Here is a 19429-nt window from a genome sequence, read left to right on the forward strand (position 1 = left end):
ATTACAGGTGCCTGCCACCACGCCCAGCTAATTTTTGTATTTTTTTTAGTAGAGACGGGTTTCACCATGTTGGCCAGGCTGGTCTTGAACTCCTGACCTCAAGTGATCCACCCGTCTTGGCCTCCCAAAGTGCTGGGATTACAGGCGTGAGCCACCGTGCCCGGCCAGTCTCTCCACTTTTAAAATGGGGCTAATAATACATATGTCTCAGGATTGTTGTGAGGATGAGAAATGATGTAAATAACATGTATAGGCTGGGCGCAGTGGCTCACACCTGTAATCCCAGCACTTCAGGGGACCAGGGTGGAAGGATCACTTGAGCTCAGGAGTTCGAGAATAACCTGGCCAATAAAAAAATCCCATCACTACAAAAAAATAAAAAAATTAGCTGGGTGTGGTGGTGTGTGCTTATAGTCTGAGCTACTTGAGTCTTCAAGGTTGAGGCTGCAGTGAGCCATGATCACGTCACTGCACCCTAGACTGAGCAACAGAGCAAGATCTTGTCTCAAAAAACAAAACATGGATTTAACATATACTTTGCAGCCATAGAAAAAGAATGAGATCATGCCCTTTGCAGAGACATGGATGGAGCTGGGGGCCGTTATCCTTAGCAAACTAACACGGGAACAGAAAACCAAATACCGCATGTTCTTACCTGTAGGTGCCCGTGCTAAGTGATGAGAACACATAGATATGTAGAGAGAAACAACACGCACTGGGGCCTATCGAAGAGGGGAGGGTGGGAGGAGGGAGAAGATCAGGAAAAATAGCTAATGGGTACAAGGCTTAATACCTGGGTGATGAAATAATCTGTACCACAAACCCCTTTGACACAAGTTTACCTACGTAACAAACCTGCATATGTACCCCTGAACTTAAAAGTTTAAAAGGTCCATATACTGGCTGAGTGTGGTGGCTCACACCGGTAATCCCAGCACTTTGGGAGGCCGAGGCGGGCAGATCACGAGGTCAGGAGATCCAGACCATTCTGGCCAACATGGTGAAACCCCATCTCCACTAAAAATTAAAAAAAATAAAAATAAAAATAAAATTAGCTGGGCGTTGTGGCGTGCACCTGTAGTCCCAGCTACTCGGGAGGCTGAGGCAGGAGAATCACTTGAACCCGGAAGGCAGAGGCTGCAGTGAGCCAAGATCACGCCACTGCACTCCAGCCTGGGTGACAGAGTGAGACTCTGTCTCAAAAAACAAAAACAAAACAAAACAAAAACCTGTATACTTAGCCTAATACAGAGCTTGACATGCAATAAGAGCCATCTGATTGGTACCTAATAATATTAATAACTGTGATTTGGCAAAGCTTGGTTCAGGTCACTTTTTTGCTGCATTTTTAAGGACTCAGTCTTTCCCAATATACACACATACTTATGACGTCTTTAGGCACTATAGGTACTGTAATAATTATTGTTGTTGTTTTTTAAAAAAAATTTTTTTCAGGGGGCTTTCTGGTAAAAACTGGAAAGGCTGCTAGACGAATACTAAAAGAGCTGTAACATTAATAATTATTGTTTTGTCTGCTCACCGGGCTTTCCTGTTCCCCTTCTGGTAGCACAATCCACTTCCCCCACTATAGATCAGGCATGTGACCTAGGTCTGACTGGGACCAAACAGGGCCCATGAAAACCTCTTGATGTTGAGAGAGAGAAGCCAGCCCTCTTTCCAAATCTGAGCTGCAAATGGCCACCTTCCCTGCGATGTGGATAGAGCAGAAGTGAAGCAAAGACAAAGAAAAAGAGTCTTGGAGACTTTGGGTCCTGCCCCAAAGCCGCAGCATTTGCCTTAGTGCCCCTTCCAGTTATGTGAGCTAGAAATTTCCTTTTTGGTTTAAGCTAGTGGGAATATGGCTTCTGATCTTTGTAAAGAAGACTCCAGGCCGGGTGCAGTGGCTCACACCTGTAATCCTAGTGCTTTGGGAGGCCAAGGAGGAAGGATTGCTTGAGCTCAGGAGTTTGAGACCATCTTGGGCAACATAGTGAGACCCCTGTCTCTACAAAAAAATAAAAAGAAAAATATTAGCAGAGGTAGTGATGTGTGCCTGTAGTCCTAATTACTTGGGAGGCTGAGACAAGAGGATTGCTTGAGCCTGGGAGTTCTGGGCTGTAGTGTGCTATGCTGTTCTGGAGTCTGAACTTAGTGGCATCAATATGGTGACCTCCCAAGAGTGGGTGATCACCAGATTGCCTAAGCAGGGGTGAACCTGCCCAGGTAGGAAACAGAGCAGGTTAAAACTCTTGTGCTGATCAATAGTGGGATCATACCTGTGAATAGCCATTGGCGCTACAGCCTGGGCAACATAGTAAGACCCCATCTTTTAAAAAGAGAAGAAGAGGAAGACTCCTGCCAGTACAGGCACACATGTCCTTGAAGTCCAGGGAGGTCAGGAGATTCGTCTGAAGCACAGAGCAGTTAATGGTAGAACGATTAATAGAACTTAGACTTGTCTGGTCATCTCTGAATTTACCATAAACTATACCATACATTCCATTGTTCACTCACAAATAATAATTGAGTGCTTACTATGTGCCAGGCACCAAACCAGCATCTCATTTTTCCTCTACATCTGCTGAAAGATTCTCCCTCCCCAGCTTCACTACCAGTCTCTAGGAACCCTTGAGTCAGGGGAAGACTCAGCCAGGTAGAGAAATAGCCTTTCTCTACCAGGATAGGGCCCAGCACACTCACTGTCTTCCCAGAATCAATACTCCCAGAACTCTTAAGTGCTAACGATGCAAGAGGAGCCAGCGAGCTACCCACCCACCTACCTCGTACTTACCTGCCTACCTACATTCCGTGGTTCTGCCCAGCATGGAGTAAGTCCTAGCCCTGGCCCAGGGACCCCAGCTGGGCCTCTGCCTGCACACCTCTCTGAGCAACTGTGCTCCTGTTGCCCTCATGTCTGCAGTGAACATTTTGGGGGATACTGAAGTTGTTTTCAAAGTGTTTTTGGGCTGGGCACAGTGGCTCGTGCCTGTAATCCCAGCACTTTGAGAGGCTGAGGTGGGCAGATCACTCAAGCTCAGGAGTTCAGGATCTGCCTGGGCAACATAGTGAGACCCTGTCTCTGTAAATAAATAAAAGTACTTTTGATCTAAATTCTCCTGAGTGTTCCCTTTCTTTACTTTGCAAAGCTGGTTGAAGAGAAAGAGAGGTGGCAGCAGCAGAAGGACGTCAGGACAGTAGTTTCCAAATCTGGTCCTCAGAACACCCATGAACCATGATGATGATCACCATGTCATCACTGGTGACAAAAAAAAAAAAAAGAGAGAGAGAAAAACACAACCTGTGGCATGAGCTTTTTTTTTTTTTTTTTTTTTTTGGAAACAGAGTCTTACTGTGTCACCTAGGCTGGAGTGCAGTGGTGCGATCTCAGCTCACTGCAACCAGCATGAGCTTTTTCTGTGCAAAACTATTCCATTTAAGGGCCATCTTTTAAATGGAAGTCAAGTTCTTCCTCCTTTCTTGATGTTAAACTATATTTTCTTGGCTGGGCGAGGTGGTGGTGGTTGGTATTCTCAACACTTTGGAAGGCCGAGGTGGGTGGGTCACCTGAGGTCAGGAGTTTGAGACCAGCCTGGCCAACATGATGAAACCCCATCTCTACTAAAAATACAAAAAATTAGCTGGGCATGGTGGTGGGCACCTGTAATCCTAGCTACTTGGGAGGCTGAGGCATGAGAATCGCTTGAACCTGGGAGGCAGAGGTTGCAGTGAGCTGAGATCATGCCACTGCACTCCAGCCTGGGCAACAAGAGTGAAACTCCATCTCAAAAATATATATATATATATATACACACACACACACACACACACATATATACGCATATATATGTGTGTATATATATTCTTTCAAGTCACTTGATTTTGCTGGGCCTCAGTTTACTCATCTTTAAAATGGGGTGAGACGGGCAGGGTGGTTGGCCTCAAGGATCCCTAAGGGCCTTTCCAACTCCAGTATTCCTACTGCCTGGGACTATGCCTCTCTCACAGCCTGGGCTGCCTCCCAACTCCCACCCTACTCACCCCAGCACCCTCTCCCCGATGCCCCCCACCAGCCCTTCTACTTAGCTCCACCAGGTGTGCCCTCCTAAGTGTCCTCTGGGGAGAAGTGCCCCTCCACCATGCACTCTGGATTCCCAGGAGATACAGTGGATAAAAGTCAAACATGGGTTTCAGACATTCTAATGTGGATTTGCCCAGCTTCCATGCAGCCGGGAAGTTGGAGGGACAGAAGGTGGGAGATGAGGAGCAAAAGCACAACAGGCACCAGGGTAGGGGCTGGGTGGGGAAAGAGCATTGAAAGAGAGGGAGGTTCTGGCTGAGTCATAATAGCATAGATTCCTAGGACATCTGAGCTGCTGGGCTCTGAGACTGCCTTGTCCTGTCTCCTCACATTATAGATGAGGAAATTAAGGCCCACGGAGGGGAGAGCAGTCTGTGAATGGAGGGGAGAGGGTAACTCCATTTTTCCTCTAGCAGCTCCTCAGCTAAGGGAAAGTCCTGCCTGTGGGAAGGAATCAAGGAAGAGAGATTGGGAAACCGAGGCCAGAGCACTAAGTTAGGACTGACCAGGACAAGGGCCCCAGGCTCCCATGAGCCCGTGTTCCTGCTCCCCCGCCTGCTTTCTGCTCCAGTCCCTTCTCCGGTCTCCCTTCCTTTGCCTGTAGACCTCAGCTCTGCTCTCAGGACATCCCAGATAGCAGCCCTCATGCTCAGAACACACTTTTCTTCCCAGGGTACATCCACTTTTGCACCCCAAGAGGATCCGGAGATAAAGAAGGTACCAGGCAATTCCAAACACTGGGGCTGGGTCCCAGGGAGAACAACTGAGCCAGGTGTCTCACCTGCGAACCTCCTGTCACCTTCAGCCCTGAGATGCAATGGCAATAATCCATGGCCACTTTGGAAGCCTCTCTCATACACTGTCAGCTTGCATCTGCGGCACCTGCAGCTGTTGCTGGGGGCTCATTTTTATATTTAATTTTTTAGAGACGAGGTTTCTCTTGCCCAGACCAGAGTGCAGTACTGCAATCATGACTCACTACAGCCTTGAACTCCTGGCTCAAGCAATCCTCCTGCCTCAGCTTCTTGAGTAGCTGAGACTATAGGGCACACCACCATGTCTGGTTGTTTTTTAAATATTTTGTAGAGACAGAATCTCACTATGTTGTTCAGGTGGGTCTCGAACTTCTTGGCCTCAAGCAATCCTCTTGCCTTGGCCTCCCAAAGTGTTGGGATTACAGGCATGAGGCACTGCACCCAGCTGGAAGATTGTTTTTAAAGCAGTGATGTCATGGCCAGAGAGAAACCAGCCCCACAGTTCCCAGATCAGCCTGGGAGATGTCCACAAACTTAGGAAGGCTTCCAGCAAAGAGGCCTTGGGCAGGCTGGGTGATCTCCCAGGCCCTAGGCTGTGCCTGCCCTTGATTGCACAGAATGTTCACTGCCTGGGAAGCTGGGAGCTGGGACAGCTGGGTGACCTGGAAATGGAGGGGCTGAGGAGCTCCAGGCTGGCCTGCTCCTCCTTGCCACCCTCTTCCTGATAACAACAGACAAGGCTGGGAGGCTCCTGGGAGCCTGCTGCCTAATTCCCAGGGCCTGGCAGCCAGCCCTGCAGCTGATGCAAGGCCAGGGGTGGGTGAGCTCAGCCTGTCCCCAGCACCCAGAGCCTCTTGCACCTGGTATGCCCTTGAAAATGCATCTGTTCATGCCCCCTCTGCCTCAGCCTCCTAGGGTCCAGCTCTATTCCTTCTGAAAGCGTAGGAGGGCCACCTAAGGATCTGGAAGCAGGCCTTGCTTGGGGGATGGGGTGGGAATTAGGCAGCAGGTTCCCAGAAGCCTCCTGGCCTTGCCTGTTGCTATCAGGGAGAGGGTGGCAAGGAGGAACGGGGCAGCCTGGAGCTCCTCAGACCCTCCATTTCCAGGTCATTTCTGAGCATCTCTGAGTCAACCCCGCACCTCTGCATGGGCAGCCTAAGAGCAGTGCGGGGACCACAGCCCCGCCTCCAGGGACCTCTGCAGTGGAATAGAGGGGCAGGGCTCCCTGCGGGCTCTGCCCCTCAGGGTCTGTCCACACCAGCCCACTTCCTCTTCCGGGAGAGGTCAGACAGCCCCTGGGAAGTCTCCAGACCTTCTTATCCCGTGAGAAGATGGACTTTCCTCCTCTGGCTCTCCCCTTTTACTGGACATGCAGGCCCAATGTAGGAAGGCTGGGGCCTGTCACTCTTCAACAGCCCTCAGGTGTCATCAGCTCAGGACCAGGATTCATTCAGCATCTACTTACTAAGAGCTCTGTAATGAGAATGTGACAAATAATAACTCGACGCATATCAAATGCATGCCTCATCTTACAAAGTGCTCTTGCGATTAGTGTTTTGAGGGATCCTAGTGACGATGCTGCAACGTAGGGAGGCCCTAGGTGGAGAAACTGAGGCCCAGGGAGCTGAAGTGGCAGCACCAGGAGTCACACCACAGGGTCTTCCCATATCCTCCTGCTACTTTAGTCCTGCCCCATACACACGCACTGAGCAGGAGGCAGGCTTCCTGCCACATGCTCGACTGTCACAGGACACCAGCTGGGACAGGGAGCAGAGAACAGTGTTTCCCATGGGCAGTGGTAGATGTAGGAGGCTGGGAGACCAGGACTTGTGGATTTAGGGTAGTTGCATGCCAGAGCCACAGCTGTCTGGGAGGGACTGGAGACAGGCTGAGGAGCAGGGAGGGTACCTGGAGCACTGGAGCTGTGCCTCCCTTTACCATAGCTGTTTGCTTAGACAATACTCAACTGTCCTGCTGAGCTCAGGCTGGCATCGGTAGGATTGGGTCTGTTGCCTGGGGATTGAGGCTGGCTACAGGACCGGCTCCTCCAGTTCTGGCCAAGGACCAGTGGCCGTGGCCATCACTGGACTCCTCGCTGATGCCAGGATTGAACAAGGCCTTTCCAGTCTGCCCATTGTATCTGGGGCCTGCCCTTTGTCCTCAACCCAGTCTGACCGTCTCTGGGGGACCACGCACCCACCTTCATGACTCCCGGCCAACCCTCCCAGCGGCTCTTGCAGCATATGCAACTACTGCTGCTGGTGAGCTCAGGCAGCTGGACTCATGGGCAGGCAAGAACATGGTGTCCTGCGCTGGAGGGCAGGCACAGGCTGTGCCAACTGCACCCACCTCTCCCAGACTTAGGCCTGGCAGGGAGGCCTGCAGTGTAGGCAAGGGCTCGCTGGAAAGAGCGATGAGGAGGCCCAGCCTGCTGAGCACTCCAAGTCCTCCTTCTACTCTCCTGTCCTTTCACTGAGAGGAGATCTAAAGAATAAAGTTTAGCTGGGCGTGGTGGCTCACGCCTGTAATCCCAGCACTTTGGGAGGCCGAGGCAGGTGGATCACCTGAGGTTGGGGGTTGGAGACCAGCCTGACCAACATGGTGAAACCCTGTCTCTACTAAACATACATAATTAGCCAGGAGTGGTGGCACTTGCCTGTAATCCCAGCTACTTGGGAGGGTGAGGAAGGAGAATCGCTTGAACCCAGAAGGTGGAGGTTGTGGTGAGCTGAGATCGCACCATTGCACTCCAGCCTGGGCAACATGAGCGAAACTCCATCTCAAAAAAAAAAAAAAGAATAAAGTTTAACTCCTGACTCTGCCCCAACCCTGAACCAATTCCTAGAACCTTGAATTACTTGAATCACTTTTTTCTTTTTTTTTTTTTTTTTGAGACGGAGTTTCACTTTCTGCCCAGGCTGGAGCGCAGTGGCATGATCTTAGCTCATTGCAGCCTCCGCCTCCCGAGTTCAAGTGATTCTTGTGCCTCAGCCTCCCGAGTAGCCGAGATTGCAGGTGCCCGCCACCATGCCCAGCTAATTTTTGTATTTTTAGTAGAGACAGGGTTTCACCATGTTGGCTAGCCTGGTCTTGAACTCCTGACCTCAGGTCATTGGCCCACCTCAGCCACCCAAAGTGCTGGGATTACAGGAATGAGCCACCGCGCCTGGCTCACTTGAATCACTTTTAAGTTTGAATTCTCTTTATTTGTTACTAGATATTACAATCACATTGTATTACATTTAAAAAGTGCAAAAGAGTATAATACAGAGAAAAACAATTCTCCCCCCATGCACCTATGGCTCAGCTGCCCCGTTCTCCACCCTCCAGGGGCAAGCAGTGCTACCAGTCTTTTGTATGTCTTTCCAAAGATAAGGCTTCATTAACCACTGAATTTTTTTATTATCTGAGCTCACACGGCAAGGTCACAACTCGCTTAACTCTTATGCTTGGGATGAGGAAGGACAAACTCCTCTGCTTTGAACATTCCTTGAGAACCAAAAGGCAATGACCAGAGACAGGCTCTTCCCATCACAGGCCCCCGCTCCAGTTCTCTCTCCCCTCACAGCCCTCCACCTGTTACCCCACTGGACGCCCAAGGCAGAAGCGAAGAACAGATGGTATTTTCCTCCTTGTTTCTTAGGAAAGTTGAGGATCCAAGAATTAAGAAGACTCAAGGTCACAGCTAACTGGGGCACCCTCAGTTTTTCATATCATTGCCCCACTTCCCTATTATCTTCTCTTTGCTTTGTAAATGACCTTGAGTTCTTAAATATCTCACCACAACTTGTCTATGGAGATCTCAAGAAGAGGGTCAAGGACTCTTCTTCTTGGGTCGTCTCTTATGAGCTGGATTTCGAGCTGGGCCCTAGAACAGCCCCTCAGCAGTGGCTGAGGATGCTGGCTGAATGCAGTGAGAGAGGGAAGGGGTCTGCTGTTCTTCCAAGGGCACCCCGAGGCCCTGCGGTTTCTCCCAGGACACACACACACATCCCTGGCCACCAGACCCACTGGCCCACGGGCCCTGTGCCTCATGAGTTCTTTTTCGTGCAGTTGGCTCTGTTAATGCCCCTGCTCAGAAGACCAAGGCCGTGGGTTGGCTCCCTGGGGGTGAGGCCTCCTGTGGTGAGACATTCTGTTCCTTGGCCATGAACTGAACAGAGTGTTGCACATTACAACAGGATGACAAAAAGAGACTGTCCCTGCGTGACATGGAAAATGCACAGTTCTCTAGCTGAAAGGGTGACTCCTCCTGCGATCCCCTCCTCCTTCCAGTTCCTTCTCACCCCACCTCTATGATCCGTGGGGATTTTCTGAGATGAGCCCTCATCTATTATATCTTCACATTCTGTCTTTGACGTAAAAGCTAACTTTAGTAAAGCAGGGCTTGGCTGGGCACAGTGGCTCACGCCTGTGATCCCAGCACTTTGGGCGGCCAAGGAAGGTAGATTACCTGAGGTCAGGAGTTCGAGACCAGCCTGGCCAACATGGTGAAACCCCATCTCTAATAAAAATACAAAAAAAAAATAAAAAAAATTAGCCAGGCATGGTGGTACATGCCTGTAATCCCAGCTACTTGGGAGGCTGAAGCAGGAGAATTGCTTGAACCTGGGAGGCAGAGGTTGCAGTGAGCTGAGATCACACCACTGCACTCCAGCCTGAGCAACAGAGCCAGACTCCGTCACGATAAAAATAAAAATAAAAATAAATAAAATAAAGCAGGTATCTCTCTAAACATCACAGAGTGCCTAGAAGAATCAGGTTCTCAGGAAGCAGGATAATAAGAAGGCTTCAGAGGGTATGAGCTGTGGCTGATTAGTAATGCAACAGGGACAAGAGGAGACTTTTATTTATTTCAGAGGACAGAAAGTAGCTGCCACGGCTGTTTTGTGAAACCAGGCTCAGTTCTAGGGTGGATCTGAGGACACCACTGGGGTGAGAGACTCCGGGAAGGGACCCATGAACCAGAGGGGCTCTGACTTGAGAGGATCAGAAGCCCGTGCTGCTGGAGGGAGAAGAACAGGTCAAGTCATGGGGCTGGAATCAGAGAGGGGATTCCCAAGGATGGAGAAGGGTGAGGGGATGGCTAATCTATGGTGTGACAGGCCATGGGTCACAAAGAAGGGATCTGGAGGCTCCATTTGGTGTTTCTACCACCTGAAAATTTGTGTACTCACCAAAGAACTCATCTGTTCTAACACCTGGGACCCCTTCCTGCTTCCTCATTCTGCCCAAAGTGTCACTGTACTGAAGGGCCAGGGTCTCACCTGACACTCACCAGGCTCCCCAGAGACCAAAGCTCTACTGTGGCTGTCAGGCCCCACCTGCCTACCTGGAATTCCATCCATGGTCTCCTGCCAAGTGCTGCTCCCCACGGCACCCTCATTGCCTGTTCCCTCCCGATTTTCACTGCAGGTGGCTGTGTGAGGGGGAAGAAGAAGACTGCTGGATTACACTGGATGGATTGGCCACTAAAAATGGCAGCCTCTGTCAGGTACAGTGGCTCATGCCTGTAATCCCAGCACTTTGGGACACTGAGGCAGGAGGATCGCTTGAGCCCAAGAGTTTGAGACCAGCCTGAGCAACATAGATACCCCATCTCAACAAAAAAAATTTTTAAATATTAATGGCCGGAAGTGGTGGCTGACACCTGTAATGCCAGTGCTTTGGAAGGCCAAGGAAGGCAGATTGCTTGACCTCAGGAGTTCAAGACAGGCCTGGGAAACATAGCAAGACCCCATTTCATTAAAAAAAAAAAAAAGATAAAAGTAAATAAAAAAAAAATTAATCAGCTGTGCTGGTGTGAGCCTGTAATCCCAGCTACCCAGGAGGCTGAGGCAGAAGGATCACTTGAACCTGGAAAGTGGAGGCTGCAGTGAGTCGTGATCATGCCACTGCACTCCAGCCTGGGCAACAGAGTGAGATCCTGTCTCTCAAAAAAAAAAAAAAAAAGGGCAGCCTTTCTTTAATATATCCATAATGACACCAGGCCTCCAGAGTAACTGCTAACAAAGTGCTTGCAGAATCACCCACCTATAGCATGAATTCAGTCTATCAACAACACTAGAAACAGAAACACAAGGGTTCACATTTTATTTTTTTAGAGACAGGATCTTACTATGTAGCCCGGGCTGGCCTTGAGCTCCTGGGCTCGAGTGACCCTCCAGCCTAAGCCTCCCAAGTAGCTGGGATTACAGGTGTGCTCCACCATGCCTGGCTGGGATCATGTTTATTAAACACATCCTTACTTGGCCTCTGAGACACCACCCTTTCTTGGACCTTCTTTTATGTCACTGGCCCCTCCTCCCCCATGTATATTTCTGGTTTCTCTTCATTTTCCTGGTGTCAAAATACTGCACGGCCGCAGGAGTCAGTCCTTCTCTTCTCTGTCCTTGTTCACACTCCAGGTGACCTCATCCAGGCTCATGGCTTTAAGATCAATCTCTCTATGCTGACCTCTCCCAAATTTGTATCTCCAGCCCTGACCTGTCCCCTGAACTCTGGGTTTGAATATCCAACTGCCTAATCAACACCTTGACCTGGGTGTCTAATAGACACAGCTGGCACAATATCCAAAATTAAACTTTTATTTTTACCCTAGACCTGCTCCTTCTGCAGCCTTACCAAACTCAGTAAACGATACCTTCACCTTCTCCATGCTCAGACCAAAACCAGACAAAGGACTCTTCCTTGACCTGTTTCATTTACTCACGATCGACATTAATAACCAGCAAGGCTAGACGTGGTGGCTCCTGCCTGTAATCCCAGCACTTTGGAAGGCCGAGGCGGGAGGATCACTTGAGTACAGGAGTTCAAGGCCAGCTTGGCCAACATGGCAAAACCCCGTCTCTACAAAAAATACAAAAATTAGCCGGGCATGGTGGTGCTTGCATGTACACCCAGCTACTAGGGGGGCTGAGGTGGGAGGATCACCTGAGCCCAGGAGGTCGAGGCTGTAGTGAGCTAAGATTGCAACCACTGCACTCTAACCTGAGTGATAGAGCAAGACCCTGTCTCAAAAAAGAAAAAAAAAAAATCAGCAAACCCTGTTGGCTCTACCTTCAAAATATACCCACCACTGGCCCTGCTGCCACTAATCCTAGCCACTGAAGTCTTGACCACAGCCTACCAGGCCTTGTGTGATCTGGCCCACTGCCACCTCCCTGGCTCCATTTCCTGCCACTGACTTTTCCCTTGACCCCTGCCACACTGGCCTCAGACACTGCAAGCCCACTCTTGCCTTGAGTGTATTGCTGTCTTCTCAGCCTGGAATTCTCTCCCCCAAAACACTCACAAAGCTGGCTGTTCTATTTCCTTCTGGTCTCTGCTCAGATGTCACCCCTCAGTGAGGCCTCCCCACACTACTTTAAGACGAGGAAATCTTCCCACACTCCACATTCTAGATTCCTCCTCTGCATTTTTTTCATATCATATATGTGTGTATGTGTGTGTGTGTGTGCACATGAGTGCACATATATAAAAATAAAATATCACAAATTTCCGAATTTCCTGAATTGGGCGATGATCACTCTAGCTACTTCCCGCTGGATAGGGGCAAAGAAGTCTCACTCCGTCCCTCAGGCTGGAGTGCAGTGCTGCGACCTCGGCTCACTGCAACTTCCACCTCCCGGGTTCAAGCAATTCTCCTGCCTCAGCCTCCTGAGTACCTGGGATTACAGGCATCTGCCACAATGCCTGGCTAACTTTTGTATTTTTAGTAGAGATGGGGTTTTGCCATATTGACCAATCTGGTCTTGAAGTCCTGACCTCAAGTGATCCGCTCACCTTGGCCTCCCAAAGTTCTAAGATTACAGGTGTGAGCCACTGCACCTGGCCTTTTTTTTTTTTTTTTTTTTTTCCCTGAGACAGGGTCTTATGCTCTGTTGCTCAGGCTGGAGTGCAGTGGTGGGATCATGGCTCACTGCAGCCTAAATCTCCCAGGCTCAAACCATCCTCCATCCTCAGCATCCTGAGTAAATGGAACTACAGGTGTGTGCCACCATGCCTGGCTAAATTTTTAATTTTTTGTTGAGATTGGGGGGGGTCTCACTATATTGCCCAGACTGGTTTTAAATGCCTGGGCTCGAGTGATTCTTCTGCCTTAGCCTCCCAAAGTGCTGGGATTACAGGCACGAGTCACTATACTTCTTCTTGGCTATTTATTATGTCCCTCTCCTCTCTAAACTATAAAAACTCCATGAAGATGAAGAATTTGCCTGAATTATTTCCTGCTAGAGCCTAGCAGGTAGAACAGTGTCTGGTACATAGTTCCTGTTAAAAGAAAAGCTTCAGCTGAATTAAATGTAAAAGCTGAGCAAAGAATGATTCCCAAATCAGGCAGCCTCCTGAGCCAGAGTAGGCCCACAGACTGCAGTGTAGCCACATGGTGGAAGAAGATTTATGGACAGAAAAAGGAAAGAGACATACAGCAAACGGAAGCGAGTTACAGAAACAGCTGGATTGGTTGCAGTTTTGCGTTTGCCTTATTTGAACACAGTTTGAACAGTTGGCCACATTTGAATGGCCAAAACTCGGTGATTGGCCCAAGAGTAGATTACAGTCTGTTTACGCTTCCATTTAGGCTGTAGTTCATGATGTACAGAGAAACCTTTAGGCCAAACTTAAAATATATAAGGAGGCCAGGCGCGGTGGCTCATGCTTGTAATCTCAGCACTTTGGGAGGCCGAGGCAAGTGGATCACCTGAGGTCAGGAGTTAAAGACCAGCCTGGCCAACATGGTGAAACCGCATCTCTACTGAAAATACAAAATTTAGCCGGGTGTGGTGGTGTGCACCTGTAATCCCAGCTACTTGGGAGGCTGAGGCAGGAGAATTACTTGAACCCGGGAGGCAGAGGTTACAGTGAACCAAGATCACGCCATTGCACTCCAGCCTGGGCAACAGAATGAGACTCTGTCTCAAATAAATAAATAAATAAATAAATAAATAAATAAATAAATAAATAAGAAAAAATGTAAGGAGGCAGCTTTAGATTAAACTTGATTTAACATTTCCTAGATACTAAAACTGTTGAATGGATGAGGCTTAAAGAGGCTAGATTAGTTTCCTAAGGCCACATAATTTAGTAAATGTTGAAACTCAGTGTTAACTAATTTTCCCAAGGTCACAGATTAAGGAGCAAAGGCAAAGCTGGGGTTCAAGCCCAGGTCTGAATTAAACATGGCATGAAGCCACAGAGCTTTCCACCTCCCCGTCCCCGTCCACCCAAGGCCAACACTAGTCAATGGCTCCCCTCCCAGATGTTCTCAACAGTCACCTTCCTGTCCCGCACCCTGCCCTTCAGCCTCTCCTTAGCGGCAATTCATTCTTCGGAAAGGTTTATGTTCATCCTATAATTATAACATAATACATGTTCAGCCTAGAAAACAAGAAAGAATGTTTAGAAAGCAGGAAGGAGGCCAGGCGTGGTGGCTCATGCCTGTAATCCCAGCACTTTAGGAGGCTGAGGTGGGCGGATCATGAAGTCAGGAGTTCAAGACCACCCTGGCCAATACGGCGAAACCCCGTCTCTAATAAAAATACAAAAATTAGCCGGGAGTGGTGGCGCACGCCTGCAGTCCCAGCTACTCGGGAGGCTAAGGCAGGAGAATTGCTCGAACCCAGGAGGCAGAGATTGCAGTGAACCAAGATCGTGCGACTGCACTCCACCCTGGGCAACAGAGCGAGATTCCGTCTCAAAAAAAAAAAAAAAAAAAAATTAGCCAGGCATGGTAGTGGATGCCTGTGGTCCCAGCTACATGGAATGCTGAAGCAGGAGGATCACTTGACCCCAGGAAGTCGAGGCTGCAGTGAGCCATGTTCATGCCACTGCACTCCCGCCTGGATGACAGAGCAAGACTCAGTTTCAAAAAAAAAAAAAAAATTATAACCTGGCCACTAGTCACAAATCCTGGGTTCTAATCTTCTAATCCCAACAGGAAGGAAGTAAAGGCATGTATATGGGCATAGAAAGACAGGCAGGCTTTGGCCAGAGGAAACAAAGAGGGTTGGTCTCTCCCAGTGTGTCTGGAGTTGGTTCCTTCTGATGGGTTCGTGGTCTCGCTGATTTCAATAATGAAGCCGTGGACCTTCACTGTGAGTGTTACAGCTCTTAAAGGTGGCACGGACCCAAAGAATGAGCAGCAGCAAGATTTATTGTGAAGAGCAAAAGAACAAAGCTTCCACAGCGTGGAAGGGGACCTGAGCGGGTTGCCGCTCCAGGCTGGGGGTGACCAGCTTTTATTCCCTTACTTGTCCCTGCCCATGTCCTGCTGATTGGTCCATTTTACAAACCTCTAGCTAGCCACAGAGTGCTGACTGGTGTGTTTTTACAGAGCACTGATTAGTGCATTTTACAAACCTCTAGCTAGCCACAGAGTGCTGATTGGTGCGTTTTACAAACCTAGCTACAGAGTGCTGACTGGTGCATTTTACAATCCTCTTATAAGACAGAAGAGTTCTCCAAGCCCCCACTCAACCCAGGAAGTCCAGCTGGCTTCACCTCTCACCAGCAGGGGACAGACAAGCAGGAAGGGACAAGGAGATCAAAGGGCAGGAGTGGAGGCAGGGTGGGGAGGAGGGGGAAATGGGACCCTGGGAGCAGTCACAGGTAAGATAAGGTAGGAGGAAGGTGTAGAGAGCTATGAACAATAGCTCAGGCTGAGGAATTTGGACCCAACAAAGGAAGCCTGAGAGTGGGCTGGAGACACTGCAGGTGGGGAGGCTGCTTAGGGATGATGAAGGGTTTTTAGCAGAGATAACTCAAAGAACAATGCAGTGTGGAGGTTACAGGACCAGGAGGAGTCTGAGATCACTCCCAAGGTGAGTGGCCAGTGACTGGGTGAAAAGTGGTGGCTCTTTGGAGGCTCAGGAAGAGGGAAAGGACAGGCTGGGCTCAATTCTGGTTGTTGAGAATTGGCTGGGAGCAGGTCTATGAGCTATGATGTCCCAGAGGAGACTGTCAAGATTATCAAGACAGATGTTTCCATGAGGAGACGCCGGTGAGGGAAACAGGGTGGAGGAAGAGGCACAGGACAGCTCTCCAGCGTAGACTTTCCACTGACCCCAGATCAAGCCTGCACTCCCCAGCCAGGTGTGCAGGGCCCTCCACATCCCAGGCCTACTCACCTCCTCCTGCCTTCTCTCTCACTCAGGAAGACCCTCCACTCCCAGGGGACTGTGCCTCCTCCAGCACTAACTCTTCAGCCACTCCATTTTGCTTGCCTCCATGGGCTGGGCTGCCATCTTCCTTGATGGTCTCCTGCTTCCCAGTCCTCAGCTGCATCATCAGTCCTGGAGCACCTGACGGGTGCTGGAGCACACAGCATAATCCCCACAAACAACCCTTGACTTGACTTCCCTTTTCCACTCTCCTCTCACCGCCCAGTCCCCAGCTCTGTCAGCCTCACTCCCCGCTGATGGCCAAGCTTGTCTCAGAGTTGCAGGTAACCTTGGCATTTGTGCCAAACGTTGCTGACCAGGGGCAGACTTAGCTGTGTAAGGCTGGTCCAGACTCCTCCAGCAGTCACATAGATCAGCTTTAATGTGCCCACGAATCCCTGGGCTTCTTGTTTAAATGCACATTCCAGTGGGTGAGCCTGGGATAAGCGGGCGATCTGTGTTTCTAACAAGCTCCCAGGTGATACTGATGACCACACTTTGAGTAACGAGGATATGGAGGACTTTTGGATCCAGTTTTCTCATTCACCAAAGAGGGCTCTGACCACTTCACTGGGTTACCATGGAATCAAATGAGTTAGAGTTTGTGAAAAGAAAACAAAAACCAAAGGTGCCAGGCAAATGTCAGATTCACCATCTATCCCACGTCTTGCTGCCAGGATGAAGATGATAAAATATGCAAAAGGCCTTGATTGCTTAGCAGATGCCAAACAAATGTTAGGTGCTCCTCCCCCAGAGCCTTCAAGGTTGAACTCAGCCGCTGGGTGGGCTCTCGGCTCATGACTTCATTCCTCTGCTCACTCCACTTACTGGATCTGCTCTCACTCTAGCTTGGCCTTGATCACATCTCCCCATCCCCTCCCGTCAGCCCCATAACACCACTTTTTTTTTTTTTTTTTTTTTTTTGAGACAGGGCCTTGTTCAGTTGCCCAGGCTGGAGCGTGGTAGTATGATCATGGCTCACTGCAGCCTCAAATTCCCACCTCAGCCTCCCGAATGTCTGGGACTACAGGTGCAAGCCACCACACCTGGCTAATTATTTGTGTAATAGAAATGGGGTCTCAGCCAGGCATGGTGGCTCACACCTGGAGTTCGAGACCAGCCTGACCATGATGGTGAAACCCTGTCTCTACTAAATACAAAAAATTAGTCCAGCGTGGTGGCACATGCCTGTAATGCCAGCTACTCTGGAGATTGAGGCAGGAGAATCGCTTGAACCTGGGAGGCGGAGGTTGCAGTGAGCCGAGATCACACCACTGCACTCCCGCCTGGGCAACAGTGAGAGATACTCTGTCTCAAAAACAAATTTAAAAAATTTTTTTAAAATAAATAAATAAAAGAAATGGGGTCTCAATCTGTTGCTCAGGCTGGTCTTGAGCTCCTTGGCTCAAGTGATTCTCCTGCCTCGGCTTCCCAAAGTGCTAGGATTACAGGCATGAGTCAATGCACCCGGCCCACAGACTGCTTTTGATGTTTGTAACAGAGTTCCATGCTGATGCCAGCCTTTTCTGGGTGGGGTTTTATTCTGCTTGATTTGTGTGTCAGCTTGACAGCCACAGCCATCTCACTGCCAGATACAATAGGATAAATGTCACAGTGATTACCAGCAGCGGATGATTAAAATGGTGACTAATTGGGTACCTGTGCCAAGGGAGAGGTAGGAGTTGAAAATAATTCCTAGGTTTCAAGCCTGGGAGGTGCAAGAATGATGAGGTCAATTTGGAGCATTGAAGCTTGGGGCCAACGTGCATGAGACAACACAGTGGAAGAGTTCCTCAGGCGGGTGGAAGTGTGGGACTGAAGGTGAGGGAGAGGTCGGCAGGGGTTTACAGATACCCATAGAGATGTAATCGCTGAATCTGCGTAGAGAGAAAAGAGCAGAAGACTGAGGATTAGACATTTGGAAACGTCTCTGTTTATTCATGTAGCCAAAATAAATTCCAAGAGAGAGTCATTTTGACCAGGTTCTCAAGCAGGGCATGTTTCTTCCCAGGCCCCAAATGGCTCCCATCCTGGCCCTAGCATGGAGGGGTATAGGGCTGCAGGCAGAAGGGCAGTGGGGTCTGGGTCTCACTTTCACAACAGGTCTCAAATTTAGACTCGTGATGTTATTTCTAAATAGGATTATATCATACCTACAGTCACAGACAGAGAGGCCCTGTCGGCTTCCTCGTCCCATCCAGGTGCAGTGAGCATCAGGTTTCCTGTGGACATCAACTCCCACCCAGGAGCTGGGTAGGCTCCCTTTTCTAGGGATTGTCCTTCTCCATCTCTGTGACTGTGCAAGCCACTGTGTGTGTGGAACATGTCTCCACTGTCCCTGCCACACTGATGGTCCCTCTTGGGACAGGGACCTATTCCCACACCAGTCATGGTGCTGTACTCCTCTTGCCAAAATTAACTGGTAGAAGGGAACACCTGACTCAAACTGGACCAACGTGTCACTTAAAGGGGGTCAATGTGTCACTCTCCAGGGGTTTTGTTGCCCCGTTTGAGAGTCAAATGTATTTCTCTACGTAAAAATTAACATAACAACAACAAAAAGGTGGCAGAAATCAATGAATATTTCCCCCTCTGGAATCCACTAACATGCTGGTGGAGGAATTTGTAAATAGACATAAATGAATAAGAACAAAGGGAACCTGTGAGGAGACATAGCAACATGACTTTGGAAGCTAGAAATCAGTGATTACTGAGAAGATCTGAGAATGTTGAATACTGTCAGCTGCAGGAAAAAACAAGTGGTAACCAAGTGTTAACCCATAGAATTCCCTAAAAGGCTCCAGGTACCTCCTGAAGGAAGGTTAAAGATGAGCCTAAAAATGAAGACTCATTAAACGTCTGTTTTAGAAACAGGGCCGGGTGCGGTGGCTCATGCCTGTAATCCCACCACTTTGGGAGGCCAAGGCGGGTGAGTCACCTGAGGTCAGAAGTTCGAGACCAGCCTGGCCAACATGGTGAAACCCAGTCACTACTAAAAGTACAAGAATTAGCTGGACGTGGTGGCGTGCACCTGTAATCCCAGCTACTCAGGAGGCTGAGGCAGGAGAATTGCTTGAACCCAGGAGGCAAATGTTGCAGTGAGCCAAGATCGTGCCACTGCACTCCAGCCTGGGCGACAGAGTGAGACTCTGTCAAAAACAAAAAACAAAAAAAAACGAAGAAGAAGAAGAAGCAGTTAAACCCCAATCCCTCCCCATTGCCCTCCAGTGAGTGACTGTCCCTCCTCCAACCCAGCAAAAGACACTAGCGGCTTCTACTAGGAAAGGATAAAACTGAGGTTTTCTGTACTAGGAGTCATCAGTTACAGGTGAGGGCTCGGATATTTTATTGGAGACAGGGGTTGTAAGTAGGATCACCCTTCACACTAAATGAAGATACTGATATCTCTTGTCCCCCACTCAGTAACCAGAACTCTG

The 19429-nt window shown here is 49.3% G+C and overlaps 2 pseudogenes, besides 4 other annotated features; one reads left to right on the top strand and one right to left on the bottom strand.

Moving 5' to 3' along the window:
• Nucleotides 1457–1514, bottom strand: RNU7-64P (RNA, U7 small nuclear 64 pseudogene; annotated as a pseudogene).
• RN7SL251P (RNA, 7SL, cytoplasmic 251, pseudogene) lies at nucleotides 2034–2330 on the top strand (annotated as a pseudogene).
• Nucleotides 5681–6330: an enhancer, noted in NCBI's record as "H3K27ac-H3K4me1 hESC enhancer chr2:85673265-85673914 (GRCh37/hg19 assembly coordinates)". NCBI's record gives its function as "activates a minimal SCP1, AML or CMV promoter by ChIP-STARR-seq in naive H9 embryonic stem cells {active_cell/tissue: H9 hESC(naive)}" and the evidence as "EXISTENCE:reporter gene assay evidence [ECO:0000049][PMID:30033119]".
• Nucleotides 6331–6981: an enhancer, noted in NCBI's record as "H3K27ac-H3K4me1 hESC enhancer chr2:85673915-85674565 (GRCh37/hg19 assembly coordinates)". NCBI's record gives its function as "activates a minimal SCP1, AML or CMV promoter by ChIP-STARR-seq in naive H9 embryonic stem cells {active_cell/tissue: H9 hESC(naive)}" and the evidence as "EXISTENCE:reporter gene assay evidence [ECO:0000049][PMID:30033119]".
• Nucleotides 14583–15572: an enhancer, noted in NCBI's record as "NANOG-H3K27ac-H3K4me1 hESC enhancer chr2:85682167-85683156 (GRCh37/hg19 assembly coordinates)". NCBI's record gives its function as "activates a minimal SCP1, AML or CMV promoter by ChIP-STARR-seq in naive and primed H9 embryonic stem cells {active_cell/tissue: H9 hESC(naive and primed)}" and the evidence as "EXISTENCE:reporter gene assay evidence [ECO:0000049][PMID:30033119]".
• Nucleotides 18465–19020: an enhancer, noted in NCBI's record as "OCT4-NANOG-H3K27ac hESC enhancer chr2:85686049-85686604 (GRCh37/hg19 assembly coordinates)". NCBI's record gives its function as "activates a minimal SCP1, AML or CMV promoter by ChIP-STARR-seq in primed H9 embryonic stem cells {active_cell/tissue: H9 hESC(primed)}" and the evidence as "EXISTENCE:reporter gene assay evidence [ECO:0000049][PMID:30033119]".

This window comes from Homo sapiens, chromosome 2 (genome assembly GCF_000001405.40).
Source record: "Homo sapiens chromosome 2, GRCh38.p14 Primary Assembly".
NCBI classification, from domain to species: Eukaryota; Metazoa; Chordata; class Mammalia; order Primates; family Hominidae; genus Homo; species Homo sapiens.